At 39.5% G+C, this 16,351-nt stretch overlaps 2 long non-coding RNA genes and 1 pseudogene across 4 annotated transcripts in view, besides 3 other annotated features; 1 reads left to right on the top strand and 2 right to left on the bottom strand.

Annotated features, from left to right (window-relative positions):
* The window catches only part of LOC105370504 (uncharacterized), a 402,142-nt gene that overhangs the window by 109,110 nt on the left and 276,681 nt on the right, over positions 1–16,351 (bottom strand). The window lies entirely within an intron of this gene.
* RPS3AP46 (RPS3A pseudogene 46) lies at positions 303–886 on the bottom strand (annotated as a pseudogene).
* Positions 803–912: an enhancer, noted in NCBI's record as "active region_8404". NCBI's record gives its function as "activates an Ori minimal core promoter by ATAC-STARR-seq in GM12878 lymphoblastoid cells {active_cell/tissue: GM12878}" and the evidence as "EXISTENCE:reporter gene assay evidence [ECO:0000049][PMID:35858748]".
* Positions 1,233–1,282: a silencer, noted in NCBI's record as "silent region_5754". NCBI's record gives its function as "represses an Ori minimal core promoter by ATAC-STARR-seq in GM12878 lymphoblastoid cells {active_cell/tissue: GM12878}" and the evidence as "EXISTENCE:reporter gene assay evidence [ECO:0000049][PMID:35858748]".
* Positions 1,302–15,703, top strand: LOC124903316 (uncharacterized). Its single transcript, XR_007064176.1, has 2 exons — positions 1,302–4,759; positions 6,060–15,703. It is a non-coding gene; the product is annotated as an uncharacterized LOC124903316 (long non-coding RNA).
* Positions 4,570–5,769: an enhancer, noted in NCBI's record as "MED14-independent group 3 enhancer chr14:54074633-54075832 (GRCh37/hg19 assembly coordinates)". NCBI's record gives its function as "activates an origin of replication core promoter dependent on BRD2, BRD4, P300/CBP and CDK7 cofactors, and independent of MED14, by STARR-seq in HCT116 cells {active_cell/tissue: HCT116}" and the evidence as "EXISTENCE:reporter gene assay evidence [ECO:0000049][PMID:35650434]".

Genomic DNA, 16,351 nt, shown 5'->3' with positions numbered 1-16,351 from the left:
GAAACAAGCAAGTGGGGAAGGACCGAAAGAGGTAAGAAAAAAGCAAAGCTGAAGATGCAGATGCTGATTTTTTTTTACAAAGAGTTCATAGTACAGTGGAAATTCTCTGTCATTCTGAGAGGCGGGGCTGAACTTCATTGTGGGATTCCTAAGTTACACCAAGCCTTGCCTGTGAGTGGAATTGACTTACGGTAGACTAGAAGTGTAATTAATGAGATGTGTTTCTTAAATTCCCGACAAATAATATGTTTTATTTGTCACCATTAAAAGTTTGAATTTTTAAACAGATTCTCGGACTTTTATCCATCAGCTTGTTTAACGTTAGCATCTGTCTCACCCCAGTAGCTTTTCTAGAACCACTACCTTCATCATGAGGCTCCCTAGGTTTTCCCAGTTCAGAGTTGGGCATCTTCAGCTTCACTTTTCTAATGAACACATTATAGAGAGGATAACTAGATTGGCAACCCTCTCCTATGTCTTTCCAGCGCTTTCTGCTATCAATTCAATGGCCACTTCTTCCAAGACATCCATCTGTACCTCCTAGGTCGAGATTTCTATCATCTTCTTTCAGGCTTGGCAGGCCTATAGTTGCTCGGTGTAGGAGGTCATCAGAATCTGATTGTTGCTTTTTCTTTTTTTTTTTTTTTTTTTTTTTAGTAAAACCAACACAAAAGAGATGAAGCAAATAACCATCAGTAGCTCTGACATTAACGTAAACTTCATACCTGGTCTGACACTTTTTAACCATGGAGCACATTTTTTCGTGGGTGAAATCCCTGCCACAGAAGTTGGTCAGGCAATCTTCACCCTAAATACCTTCAGTAATGAACTTGAATTTTCTAAATGCAACCTCATTGTTCTGTAGATCAACAAGGCTCACTTCAAAAAAATGGCTCAACCACTTTCTCCTTGGATCCCTTTTCGGCACCTTTTGTGGGCTGTGTTTCTTTGTTTTTGTTTTCTGTTTTGTTTTGTTTTGAGACGGAGTCTCACTCTGTCGCCCAGGCTGAAGTGCAGTGGCGCGATCTCGGCTTACTGCAAGCTCCGCCTCCCGGGTTCACGCCAGTCTCCTGCCTCAGCCTCCTGAGTAGCTGGGACTACAGGCGCCCGCTACCACGCCTGGCTAATTTTTTGAATTTTTAGTAGAGACGGGGTTTCACCATGTTGGCCAAGATGGTCTCGATCTCCTGACCTCATGATCCACCCACCTCGGCCTCCCAAAGTGCTGGGATTACAGGTGAGCCACCGCGCCTGGCCTGTGGGCTGTGTTTTTAAAAGGGAGGGGACGTATGAGAGATATGACCAAGTGTGGTCTGGTGGGGAGAGCACTGTGCTATGGGTTAAGCAGTGTGTGTCTTAGTTCCAATTTGGCATCTATCTTTGGAGCACCGTTGGTCCCATACTGTCTGTGGCAGAGACTGGCTAAGCTATTCATCAAACCTGTGTCCTTTTTTCCCAACACAGCTAAACCTGGTTCTTAGCCTTTCTGAGAGTCAGATGTGTCCATGTGACAGGTACTGACCACTGGACTGTGGACAAAAGTCAGGTACTTTACAATCAGGTCTGAATCAGGTCTGAATCCTCACCTTGAGCTGGATAGTGATACCTAAGGCTGGCCATGAAGATCACAGAGCTGTCAATCTTGGGTCCCCTCAGACCTCAGGGTGGCCAAGCAGGGTCTGGGGCAGCTGGAGTACCTGGTCTGGGCACCTCAGTTGTAAGAAATCTCCATTTACCCTACTGTGCTAACTCCTTCTACACGTGCCATGAAAACTGAAAAGTAAGGCAATTTCCCAGTGGACTCTGAGATTGCTTCCAGTCCTACCATCCTCAGTTGGAAGCCATTTATACTCTCATCCACCCTCAACAAAGATAGAAGGATGCTCTTCCTGTGCATTCAAGATCTCCTGGGGGAGGGAATGGGACTTTGCTTCCTCCTATTCTCCCTCAGAGATAGAGATGAAGGGGAAAATATAGAAAAGAAAGAAAACAGAATGTCTGTCATAGTCCACTAGCCAGTTAATGGGAGGGAATCATGAAAGGGCCTCACAATGAGGAGGCCTACAAGGAAATAGCATGACGTCTGTGAGAGCCACAAGCCAGAGAACGAGGGTGCCACTTGCCACCACACTTGGCTGGTGGCAGATCCTTGGGCTGTAAATCCTAAACAAGGGCCAGACCAGTGACAACAAACTCCTGTTCCTCCAGCACATCTCTTGCTATGGGTTTGTGCTTAATCAAGCCAGCCTCAAATCCTTTTAGAACTAAAAGTCTCAGCTATTCCAAAATTAACCTCCTTCCATATGTCCTCTTCAATAAAGCCTTCTTTTCAACTCAAAGAAGGATGTGAAAGCTATTGCTCCCTTAGGCAATGCCATTGCTGTTTGAAAAACCAAGATGTATATACACATATGTCCTATGTATACATAACTTATAGTATAATTTTCTGATTCTGGATGTTTGTATGTATAGTGGAATGTTAGCTCCTTCTAGACATAGAAGCTGCACCATATGTCCCTGTGGTAGGAATGTGACCTACTCCTGGAATGAAGAGATTGCATTTGATCTGTGACATTAAATAGCCAAACTAAACACTCCACATTGAGACAATACAAAACTGGTCCATAAAGATATCAACAAGACCCCCACATTTTTACAAGGACAGCAAAAGATAATTCTACATTTTTTACAAGTCTTTTAAAAAAATCTTTGAAGCATTTCTATAGTGTTTATTATGTAAAAACATAGTTCTAAATGCTTTTGCAGCTATTAATCTGATTCTCCATGAGAAGGATATTATTATCATCCCATTTTACAGGTAGAGAATCTGAGGAAGAGATGAGGTCATTTGCCCAAATTCACACAGCGAGTTAGCAGCAGAACTGGGGTTCCAACTCATGTAGTCTAGTGTCACAGGCCGTGTGCTCAGTCATGACACCATGCTGCCTGGTGGCTTTATTTATTTATTTATTTTTTGAGACAGAGTCTCATTCTGTCACCCAGGCTGGAGTGCAGTGGCACAATTTCGGCTTACTGCAACCTCTGCCTCCCGGGTTCAAGCGAATCCCTTACCCCAGCTTCCCAAGTAGCTGGGATTACAGGTGCCCACCACCACGCCCGGCTAATTTTTGTATTTTTAGTAGAGACAGGGTTTCACCATGTTGGCCAGGCTGGTCTTGAACTCCTGACCTCAAGTGATCTGCCCACCTAGGCCTCCCAAAGTGCTGGGATTACAGGCATGAGCCACCGCTCCCAGCCCCAGTGGCTTTAATAATGACCAAACCTCATCTGTGTTTTCCTCATACACACCCACACTCTCTGGTCCTCCCCACATTGGAAAAGTGCATAATAAGTTTCACCCAGTCATTTCTCCAGAGTCTCCTGAACTTATGGATCAAAAGCAGCCCATCTGAAGTATGGCCCTGGCTAGGAAAAGCCTTCATGGCAAGTATAGAACCTGAACATGGGCTCTTGGTAAAAACTTTCGGTCCTTAGAAAATTTAATTCTTAATGAAAAGCCAATGTTCAAACTATCATTCTCTATGGAAAATAGGAATCTATTCTACAAGATTGACTTTTTCCTCCATGATTTTTTAGTTGTGGGAGTCAAAAAGACAGTATGATTGTGACATATTTTAAAGAGCAGGTGCTTAAATATTTAATGACTTTCAATAGTCCCTCTTTTCTAGCATTCAGGAAGAGTTGAGCAGAAATTGGCAGAAACCGTGTCAGAAGTTCCCATGTTCAGTCACCACATTACCATGCTTGGCTGGCTGAGATGGAGTGACAGAATTTACCCCTCTAGGCTGTTTCTCCATTTTTGAAGTGAGAAGGGCAAACTCTATGACTTCTGGAGTCTAATCCAATTCTTACAGGATTTTTAATTCACTATCCCCATGGCTGCAAGACCACTAGAGATCTGCCTCCTGACAAGGCTTTCCTGCCTCATCTCAGATCCCTGAGCTCCTTGCTCATGAAACTCTAGGCACATGGGCTTCCCTTCTTCCAGAACGCTAATCCCTTTCCTGGCGTAGGGCCTTTCCACCAGCAATTCCCTCTGCTGGAAAGCTGGATCATCACCTGGTTAGCTCTTTTTTATCATTCAAGTTGCTGGTTAACTTCTTTAATCAGCTCTTCTGTGAGCCTGTCCCCAATATCTCAAGCTAAACTAATCTTCCCATCCCAGCACTAACTCTCCATCAATCACCCTGATTTATTATCACCTATCAAAATCTGATATTCTCTTGTTTATTTCTTTTGTTTATAGTCTATCTCCCCCCATTAGGTATAAACTCCATGTCTGTCTTATTCATCATTTTATCTCCAGTACCTATGTAAGTGCATAGTAGCTACTCTATGAATATTTGCTGAGTGAATAAATTCAAGAAATGCAGGACTCCTAATGCAGGCAAAATCAGAGCCTAAGAGCAAGAGGCAGTAGGATTCCTTTCTAAGAGTCACTTCTTGGTGCTACACTTCCCTTTTCTTTTTTAATTTAGTGATTTCAGAACGAAGGTCTGAGTGACTATACACAGATCCACATTGTAAGAGGTAGGTTTGTGTGCCCTTTCTCTTCTGTGGATGGATCTCCTACCTCTTGTGAGAAGTTGTGAGTCTTCAGTGACATCTTGTCTGGTTATACTACCTGCATCACAAACAGAAAATTGCATGTTCCCCCTTAGGGAGACCAGCACCTTACTGTGAGGACAGCTGTGTTGCTCTGGTTCTGCAGATTCTGGGCTTCTAGATCTGAATAAAGGTAGGTTCAAGTCAAGTGGCCATCTGGGCAGAGAAAGGCTGGATGCTGTACTCTAAGAGGTGCTTCTATATTGGCTTCAATGTTTCCTGAAGCTGATTTGATGTTGGCTACTGCCCTGGTGCAAAGGTGTCCTTTCTCTCTTAACAGAAGGACTGAATACCATACCAGATAATAGTGGATATTCTGTCTTGGATCTCTGACCAGACAGAGAGGCTTGACAAAGGCTTAGAGGCTTGACAAAGCTGCGTGGAGTTTCTGGGCGTGACACCTACAGAAGCTGCTCCTCCCAGCTCAAAAGGGAGCAGCTGCCTCCTCAGGGCCAAAGGCAGAGTCTCCACCCAGGTGACTCACCAGGGACTAAAGTAGAACGAGGAGGAACAACCCTGGTGAAGTCACGGGACAATGTGAAAGCATCACCACCTGGATTTCAGAAGGGAAGGCTTGGCCCTGGTGTGTGAGGAACCATCTCAACACACCCATGACCCACGGGTAGAGAGCTGGCTTCATAGTTTTTAATGGTTAATTGACTTTGACTTTTCCTTCTCCCCTCCAACCAGTTTCAGAACCTCCAGGTCTGTGAAGAGACAGATCTCAAATTCCTCCATTCACTCTCCCCAGCCTCCTACATCAAATATGTTATAAAGTAACAACTCAGAACTAGTGATTTTCTATTCCACTGTAAACAGATTTCAGAGTCGGAGACTTCAGCACTTCATTGCCCCAATATTTGGTTGAGAAGTACTTCCTTAAGTATTACCAACTTATCTCTTGCAGCAATATCAGCCCATTTCTTCCTATTCAATCTAGTGTAAAGGAGCAAAATAGTGACTATCTATATTCTTCATGATCCTTGAAAACAATTAAGTCAACCCTTAGCTTTCTGTCTTTATTCATCAAATGTCAGGAGAGAACATGCTCCCACCATTATAATCTTTCCGGTCATCCTTTTACAAACTTTACTTCTTTGCATCATTCTTCTAACTATGAAGTCAGAATTGTACATCCTGCCCTCATAAGGTCCGTGGCAAGTCTTGGAGCAACAATAAGTTTCTTTCCAATTTTTGATGTCACATTCCTATTCTTTCTGATCTGGAAATGCATGGCTGACTTATATTCAACTTGAATTTAGATCTCAGGTCTTTTCTTGTCATATAGCCTCACCCAATTCTTCCCTAGACAGGGTTAACTGCATTAGTTTTTTTGTCCCTGGATATACTGACCTTGTCCTCTACCTCTTTTCAGATGGTTGGTGTCCTACATTTCCCAAGTTTATTAACATTTATTTTTCAATCACTGAAAGTTTCAGAAAACTCAGACAGCTAAGAAGAAATACCTGCACATCATCTGACAAGAACATGGAACAGTCTTGGCACCAGGAAGATACAGATGTGGCTGACCCAGACTTGCTCCCTAAAGTTCACCCTGAGCTTGTGATACACAAAATTTGTTTAAGAGTTCCTGTAGTGATGTCCTCACCTGTTATTAGAGTCATTCGGGCCTCACCTAGAGAATAGTTGTTGGAAATCTGTTCTCAGCTTCATTTGTTCTCTTGGCTTATTCTCACTTCCATATTGCTCTGCCTGTCTAGATACTTTTTTTAAACTTATATAATGACAACTCAGGACGACTGATTTTCTATTCTATTATAAGCAGATTACCAGGTCAGAGACTTAAGCACTTTGTTGCCCCACTATTTCATCTGTCATACGCACTTTGCCCATTTCTTTTCTAAACATTGTTAACTGTATTAGGATTCTATCCCTAGGTAGACTGTCCTTTTCCCAATTTTATTCTGTTTCGGATCATTGTCTTACCAAATTTATTAAGTTTAGTTACATTTTTTTTTTCCTTGGAGGTTTCCCAGACTCAGAAACCTAAAACTGCCTGGGGTGGTCCCAGCTTACGTTTGTATTCTCAGCATAATTATTACAGAGTTTCCTTTCACTGTCAGAAGAATCTTGCTTTGGATGGTAAATTATATGGTCACTCTGCTGGCCTTTCAGACTGACTCGGAACCACCCCACACACCTGACTGAGGGCACCTCAACTTCTTCCAGAACTTCAGTTAGAGACTACATGTGGTCTTTCCTCCAGGACTAGCTTCTGGTGGTCTGGAAATGAGTATCTGACTCCTGGCAGGGGTGCTGTGGCACTGCCTAGGACATTAAGCTGAGCTTCTTTCTAAGCTAATGGAGCCCATGAAGGTTAGATGATGATTACTCTGATTCTGTGTGTACCTCATAAAGATGCAGTGGAGTGGAGCAATTAAAAACTGGAACTTTGGAGCAGGACTGCTTAAGTTCAAATCCTGGCTCTGTCACTTTCATTTTATATCATTTAATTGGGGCCTATAAACCCATGTACATGTTCTTTATTAAGAGATCTTTGAAACAGAATATTTATACATGCACAGACCCACACTCATTTAGTTGTACTTGTGATCTAACATTTGCAGATTTCCCATGTCACAAGATCTAATAACATGGACATGGCATGGATGACTCAGCTCCAAGCCAGTTTGTCATATTATGATAATTCATGGGACAGTAAGCTTGGCAAAATTTCTCAGCACTAAGACTTCCTCTCCACAAGACAGACACAACAACTATTCCCCCTCTGGATGTTCAGTAAAAGCTGAATTATGTCATTCATTTATTCACTCACAAAGCATATGTTCTTTATGGAGCTCTCAGCCGTACAGCATTAAGGGCAGTAAAGAATCTAAAGAAAATAATGTCCATGCTTAATCTCAAGTAGTTTGTTACTGAGCTGGAAATAATCGAAGTATGCACACAAAAATTGAATGACCATGCAAGACAATGAAGCCAAAAATGCAAGACACTGAAAGTGAAAAGAAATATAATAACTAAATGTCAGATGACCTCACATAAGATCTATAGAAGCTTAGAAAAGAGAACCTAGGAATGAAGACACCAAGAGAGTCAAGACCTAGAAGAAGATGGAAGCTGTGAATCTGGGAAGAAAAACATAAATTTTAGATATGCATTGAACATCAGATTCAGACTAAATCTAGTATCTGGCATCAGCTTCAGCCTTGGCTTCTAGAAAGCCAAACACCTACTTCAGTGTCCTTTTTTAGTATCCTGGAAGTTGTAAATGGTCAGTGATCCTGTGATTGTGCAGCTTAAAATCTTATTTGATGAGCTCAGCAATGCTAGGAAGATGACAAAGCCATGTCATTTGGAGTAATTTTTAAAATAGATGTGCCAGCTTTTTATTCTGAGAAGTAAATATGTTAGAAAGGACAATCCTTATTATCATTTCATACAAGGATATTTGACACCAAAATATAGATATGACATGATCAGATTTAATTTTAATATCTCAATATTCACTTTCAAGTATGGGTAAGTATTCTCAATATCCATTGGAGTTTTTAAAAGACATTGTTTTGTTTTATGCTATAGCACATAACATAAATGCTATAAGATTAATTAGTAAAGCAACTGACTGTACTAAACAACCTAATATCAGTCAATTGAAATACAAAATATATTAATGATTGTAAAAGTAACATGCTTTACTAATTAATTATAATTATAATAGCTAGTAATTTCTGTAAAAAATTAATTATAACTTTCTACTACATAACTATAAAAGAATAGAGTTTGGCAGCATAAATGTTAAGAGAAAGTACATTTCCTCAGTAAATTAGGAAGAATGCTGGATCTTTTTCAAACACATGCAAGCTTATAAAAATTTAAATAGTAATACAAGACAGAATAAAAGAGATTGGGTTTGTTATAATTCTAATCTTCAAATAATTACTGCACTAGTGAAAAACTTTTTCCTAGTTACATTCTCTTCACAAAAAAGTGACATTGTTAAATGTAATTCTTCTGTGTGTCATGGAGCAGATATTTAGACAAGCAGAGACAACCAGGAGTCTTATTTTTAAGTTTGGCAGCATTTAGGACTAATTACGAATTCAAGTGGGTTTCTGCTTTACCCAGTTCCTGAGGTATTTCTGGTTCCCAAACATTGATCACTGCAGTAAATCTTTTCAAAGACACATTTACAGAATGAAAAAATTAAGAAAAAATGGTGTCACATAATTGTCATTGTCAATGGAACAAACATGAAGATGCCATGAATGATTTAGAAATCACAGCATGTCTTGTTCATACAGTTCATGTGTGTGCTAAGGAATTATAGGACAGGATAATGTAGTAGAAAAACTGGTAATCAGCAGGAAAACAGTGAGCTACTGTGGTCGGTTTTCTTTTTCTTTTTCTTTTTTTTTTTTTCTTGAGAGGGAGTCTTGTTCTGTCACCCAGGCTGGAGTACAGTGATGGTGGGATCTCGGCTCACTGCAACCTCTGCCTCCCGGGTTCAAGACGACTCTCCTGTCTCAGCCTCTTGAGTAGCTGCGATTACAGGTGTGTGCCACCACACCCGGCTGATTTTTGTATTTTTAGTAAAGACGGGGTTTCCCCAAGTTGGCCAGGCTGGTCTCGAACTCCTGACCTCAGGTGATCCACCCACCTCGGCCTCCCAAAGTTTTGGGATTACAGGCGTTAGCCACCGCGCCTGGCCAGATTTTCTTTTAGCCAAAGACAGACTCCTTGATGCATGAGATTTTAGAAGTGCTATCTACTTACACAAGGTATGCAAACAAGATGGAAAGAGGGACAGTGGCTAGTACATGCCCCCGCCTCCCCCAAAAAAAGAGCTGCTTGACAAAAGAATGTCTAACCCTCTGTTTCACAGAGAGCAGTGCCAACATCACAGGACTTCCTGCCACCAAAGACACTCCCTCTCTGCAGGAAGGGTAGTTTGTGTGCTGAAACCTTCTAAAGAAGTAGCAGATACAGAGGTGCCTTGAGAGGGCAGCGGCTGCTGCAGGGTACCTTCTCCAGAGATCCCCAACTATGAGAGCAAAAACACAGATGGAAACTCTGAAATGGTTTTGTTATCTGGAAATCCAAGTACCTTGTCCCACTGATACATTTTTATATCCAAATATTAAGAAACAATTTTTGTCTCAAGTGATTGTGGGAAGCAGCACAAACACACAAAATACTGGAAATAATTTAAATGAGAATAAAAATCTTAAATTAGCTTTCAAAGACAGTCAGAAAGTAACTTCTGCAAACGGTTTTTCCCATCAGTAATCACTTATTGAGTACCCATGTAGCATGGAACCTGGAACCATACTGCCTGGGTTCGAATCATAGCTGGGTCACTTGCTGGCTATATAACCTTGGGTTAGTTATTTGTCTCTCAGTTTCCTCATCTGTAAAATGGGATTAACCATAATATCCACCTTATATGGATGTCTTCAGGATTCAGTGAGTTAATATTTGTAAAGCACTTAGAATAGTGCCTGGCACATAACACACGTTATATATTATTTGTTAAATTAAAATAAGATGTACCATGCACTGTTCTAGACATTTGGGTTAGAACAGTGCACAAAGCACCTTTTGTGAGATTATTTCAAAGAAATTAATCATTACCATCCATCAAATCTTCAACTCCAGGAGTTGAAGGGAATGTAATTCATTATTTCAGCCGATTAGTTTTAGAAAAAGAAAGCTTAATAATTTGGTGACAATGTGGCTATCAGCTATATCCCATACTGGCAGATTAGCCAAAAGATATCTTGGTTTTTTAATCAATTTCAGTTGAAATGAGTGAATACTGAATATCTGTTGATTAAATTAGATTGGAGAGAAGCTGCTAAGGAGACTGAACCACGCAGTGCCATGGAAGAGAAAGTAAGGAAAAAGGGACACATGACAAGGACATAAACATCAGGAGAACTAAGAATGCAAGATAAGAAAAGGACAATGGTTTGATGGCTTAGGGGACCCTGGTGGCCTTCAAAAAACCAATTTCAGTAGAAATACTGGGGAATGAGATTACTGGAGGTTAAGGAGGTTGCTCTCTAGGGAATTTGGGAGGCAAAGAAACAAGCAGATGATACCTGGAGATGTTAGCAGGTTAAAAAAAAAATCTTCACTATATGAAAAACACAACTGATTAGAAAGGAGGCACTGGAGAAGGAGAAATTTTAAAGAAGTATAGAAAGTAAGGGATATAACTGATGAAGATTCCAGAGGAGTTTAAAGGGGAATGAGATTAAAAACACTGGCAGAGTAATCATGGGAAACAGTGAATGGGAAAGAGCTCAGATCAGATGTTTTTTATTTTCTTGGTAAAGAAGTCCATAGGAGTAAGGAGACAGAAGTCTCTTTGGGCATTTAAGGAACATGGGAAAATTTATTACTACAATTATGGGGGATATGATACAGCGTTAATTCTCCATGATGAAAAGGATATCCCATTAACCCTGGATGCCCAACTGAGGTCCGATAGCAGGGATCTGTGTTGGATCCAAGAACAACTTCTTGTAAGGATTCACTTTCGGAAATGGTTAACAATAGTATGTATAGGGATCATAGGTTTGGAAGAGTCAAGTCTGGAGCAGGGGACTTTTCACACCAAAAGATTTTTCCAGCTGACTTGGGCTAAGAAAGAACAAAGTGAAGACAGAGGTGTTGACAGATTTGGGAAACAGGCACAGATTAGGAATTGGAGGACATAGAGTGGCTTGGTGGGCATGAGGTGGGATGACAGGGCATTACTATCAGAAGGACAGTCAATGAGTGTAAGATCCTGGAGATGTCAGAGGAAAGAGAACCAAGAATCAAGTCTTGAAAAATATGCAGAAGAGAGGCAGAAGGAAGTCTACTAAAGGTGCTACAGTGAGAGAACTATCAGAGAGATAGAAAGACAAAACACAGCTATGCCATGGAGGTCAAGGAGAAAGAAGACTTTACACAGTATACTTACAAACAATAATCCTAACAAACTTGCGATGTTATATAATAATGAGTACTGAACGCTAGTGATGAAGCTAGCATAGTACAGTTTTATAGGCATTGCCATAGTAAGTTTTCTCAGCAACCAAGTAAGGCAAGTACTATCACTGATGTTTTACAACAGAAGAAAGCATAGCTGTGGGAAACAACTTATCCAAGGTCATACCACATGAGCTTCTAACCTTGACCATGAACAGCTTTCTATTTTAATAACCAAACATTATGTCTGAAGTAGTTGCCATATTACTGCAATTGTTTTTGCAAAAACTCTACCGTATCATGTGTATGTATTATCATTATTATATTTCAGAGCAGATAACACAGAATTCAAGGAGGACTGAGACCAAAGGTTATCACTGGATTTGTCCATTAGGAGATTGTTAGAAACTGGCAGAGCAGAGTGTGGGGATAGAGCACATTATTGAAAGACAAGACTGGGGAAGGACAAAGAAGCCACAGGGGGTGGGGTCAGGAACATGGGGATTGAAGTTTGGCATATGTGGATTCAAATCCAGGCTGAGTCACTTAGTTGTGTGATCTTGGGCAAGTTACTCCTTGTTAATTAAGCTTCATTTTCCTTGAGTGTAAAATGGTAATGATAATAATACCTACTTCCACAAGATTGTTCTGAGAATTAAACAACACAATTTCTATAAATATTTTCATTCAGTGCTTGGCTCACAGTATGCACCCAATAATGTTTTTACTATACAAACTGCATATATAATTATACAGTTAACTGTATATACTATATAATCTGTACTACTACCAGTGAACTTTTAAAAATTCCCTTTTTTCTAGGCATTCATGATATAGCCACGTTTTGTTTGTCCTCCTACCGCCTTTCTGATCTCTGGTTTCCTGAATTAATGTAGTTAATGTTATGTTTCAGAGCACTTTTGTATATATTAGTTTTTTTCTCAGACAAAACTTTGTAAGGCAGTTAGAGCAAATTTAGATACCTTTTCTAGGTAAAGAATTATCTGTTCTGATTAAACAAACATTCTGCTTTATAGAGAGCTATCATATGTACCATGCACCAATAATTATTTTTCAAATAATATTTAATAGAACACATTCACTAAAACTGTGCTGCTCATATAAGCACTTGTAGGTGATTTGAAAGGTCAATTTAGGATTTTTACTATCTTCACTATGTATGCATCATCATTATGAGCAATAATTTTCATCTTCCCATAGATGTTCAGAATACCAGTTATATGTCTTGTCAGAGTGTCTAACACCTGTGCATATAAATATGTATAATATACATGTGCAATGAGTTCAAAAAGACTAAGTCCTTAGAACACTAAACATATCGTAGGAAGATCAACTGTACTCAGACTCAAGGCTAGCATTTGGGATTAAGGAAATACCTGGAGTCACCAGTAACTTTTGGAGAGCAACACCAACCTTCTAGGTTGCTCCTCCATATAGGGAGGTATGAGTTCAGCTAGGTATGGGAAAAACAAAGGATGACCTAGAAATTAAGCACATCTGTTATATTATTGAGACATCAGTATTTAACTTTTGGAACAAGAGGCTAAGTTTCAGACAAACTTCATTTTTAAAAAATCCTTATTAAGGACCTCTAAACACAGGACCAAATTCTGTCCTTGAATTTTAAAACAAAACTGGGTCTGAAATCAATATAGGCACTGTTAGAAAGGATTTGAGGATTGAATTAGGGAATAGGATTTGGCTCCTAGGACACAAACCATGCTACTAATCCCGGAGAAAGGATTTGCCCGTTTAAAGGATTATAAATTTTTGAAAAGCATATTCTGTTGATAATACTTTTCATTTCCTGCAAATTACTGAGGGATATTTTCATTGTGAATGAAATTGGACAATGTTTTTATTGTTGTTGTTTTAATTTTCTTTGTTTCAAAGGGTACTAAATTTCCAAATGATCAGACGTGAAGTTTCATGGCCCATAATGGCTACACATTTGAAGACTCAAGCAAATAAATTAGAAATAAAGCCTACCAGCAAACCAAAAGATAATTACATGTAAAAGCAAGTCTCCTTGATTTCTGATACTTGCACTTATGAGAATGAGAAAACAACGATAGCACAGAGAGATGGTGGACATGGAGGACAGGTCCTGTAGGCTCACTTCATGGGCTTTTTCATACCCTGACCACTTTCCACGCTGGATTCATTTTACTGTAGTGAAACAATTGGCTGTAGATAATGTTAAAAGATAGGACTTTGGTAACAGGAGAATTCATGGATTCTTGAAATTCCTGAATGGAACTGGCTCTCCAGAAGCTACTTGCAGCTCAAAAGAGAAAGAGAGAGAGAAAGCAAGCCAGAGAAACATTTGAGGTCATATAACACTTTGTCTCCAATGTTCTCAAGGCCTCCCTCTGTGCACAGACCTCACTTTGAAATTACCACCTGTCACAGGCCTAGCAAATCCCCTCACCAGAGACCATGTCTAATTCTTTGTTTTAAAGGGCACTCGATGGTTTTCTCCAGAGAAGTCATCATCATCAGTGGCAGCAACATCCTACTTTATTTACACAGCTTAGCATAGGACCATCCCCACAATATAACAAGAAAGATTTGACCCTGTGGGCTTTTTCCTGTTCTAAATTTTCTCCTTTTGCTTGGACAAAAGGTCCATCATTTCTGAGAAAAAAAAAGGGAGGATGGGGCTGGGTAAGGAGACTGCCACAGTAACAGCGTAATGCTATTAGTCTGAATTCTCCCATGACGGAGCCCTCGCTGGGAAAGACAATTACAGGCAAAAGGGTGATAACCTCACGAGGCAATAACCTCCTGAGAGATCCTGTGCCACATGTACAGGTTATTAATTTCAGGGAAGGAGCCAAACTTCAGGGGCCCTCTCAGAACCGACTCTTTCAAGGTTTGCCCATCTCTAATGAGCTGGGTCTTTTTTGCGATTGTCTAACCACACGATTTCCTTAATTCTTAGCTGGTTGCATAATGGCAAAGATAAATGTGGCTTTTTCCAGCTGCTTCTAAAATAGGTTCAAGGTTGAATTAATATGAATGGAAATACTTTCTGTTCATGTAAAGGGTTGGAAGAAACCGTATGTGTGGGATTTGCTGATACCTGCTAAAATGTACACTGTGTGTCCTACATGGAGGACACAAGACGGGCAGAGGTGGAATAATGACTTATAGGAGCCCCAAAGTCCTAAGACGGTGAAATTCCACCAAATTTATTCCATTTCAGCAGGAGCTAGAATATTCCAAAATTCAAAAAAATGGACTTAGTTATAAAGGAATCTTTTCAGAAGTCTTGACTCTCATCACATACTCAATGTTAATTACCATTTGTGTGTAGAACGGTGTGAATTAAAACTAAAGAAACAAACAAAAAACTTGCCTTGTTATTCTGCCAAAGGACCCCATAATCTAATGAGGGAGAAGTGGCACCTGCAGACCAAAGAACACACAAGATTTCGAAGGTGGTTATTCCAAGTGAAAACACACAACTGAAAAAGTCCATGAGGACTGAGTGGAAATTGACAAGAACAAGGGGAGTTCATCAGGAACAACTTTTCCAGGAAAACTTGAGGTTCAGATTTGAGAGGATAATATGGCTGGATGAATAGGAGAAAATAAGCTACTCCAGAGGAAATGAAGGAAGTTAAGACATGGAATCACAATCCATTTCACCTCTTTGTTCTTTTCTTTTAACCTTAACTGCAACCTTCCCCATAGTAAGCAGAGGAAGAGTAGATATTGTTTCTGTGGTTAAGTTACAGAAAGTGTGTTGCTTGCTAGGTACTGCAAAGTATTTTTCTGTTAGTGACAAGCAAATCATATCAAATTGTTCAAACTCAATTTCAACTCTTATAAGAGGATAGACATGGGTTTTGAGGAAATGGTTATCATTTGCCTTGTTATTACCTCATCTTTGAGCCCCAACATGTGCCTTTACTACTTATCCCAGTGATTCTTTCAAAAAATTATTTAATAAATCAAAATATTCCATAAGTCAAAATATCTTCAGGTTGCGGATTTACCTTTGACTTTCATCTTAACCAATTGTTTAAAATTCCCCCATTCTCCTCTCATCTATTGTGTATAAATTCAGATTAAAATGTAGTTAAATTCATTAATGCTCATTATTTATGTGTCTAAGACTGATACTAATAATGACAACCATGTATTCGACACTTTCCAAACTGCAGGCCGTAGGCTCAGTCCTTTGTTTTGTTAGTTTATTTAATCCTTATAACAAGACTAACCAGTGCTTCCAAAATCCCAATGGATATTAATCTTTGGGAATTGAAAACAAAAAAAATTAGAATCCCCAGAAAATCTTAGAAATTTCTGAAATCATAAGTTATTCTGTATTTTACTAGTATTTACCAAGAGAGAAGTAATATTTAATATTTTAGTTGTTTAGCTTTTTTTGGTTTAGTGGGGTTTTTTTTGTGGGTTGGTGGGATTGTTTTGTTTTGTTGGCTTGTTTTTATTTTTTAATATTTTATAGTATTTACAAAGATGTGGTTTATAGTTAATATTCAAAAATTAGAAAATGCCTGCAAAAATTATGAGATAATGCTAACAAACCTAACATTTGGACTCCCTAGCAAGATTAACAACACTACACGAACTGATATGTCAAAATTGCTAATTTAAGGACTTATTTTCTTCCAAATGTGTTATTTCTTGAAACACCGTTCATAGGATTTGTATAAAGTATACGATGCATATGAACTTATAGACATTTATTTTATTTATAAGAATGACTCACCCT

The sequence above is a fragment of the Homo sapiens genome, chromosome 14 (assembly GCF_000001405.40).
Source record: "Homo sapiens chromosome 14, GRCh38.p14 Primary Assembly".
Lineage (NCBI taxonomy): Eukaryota > Metazoa > Chordata > Mammalia > Primates > Hominidae > Homo > Homo sapiens.
This window is presented reverse-complemented; position numbering and strand designations above follow the sequence as displayed.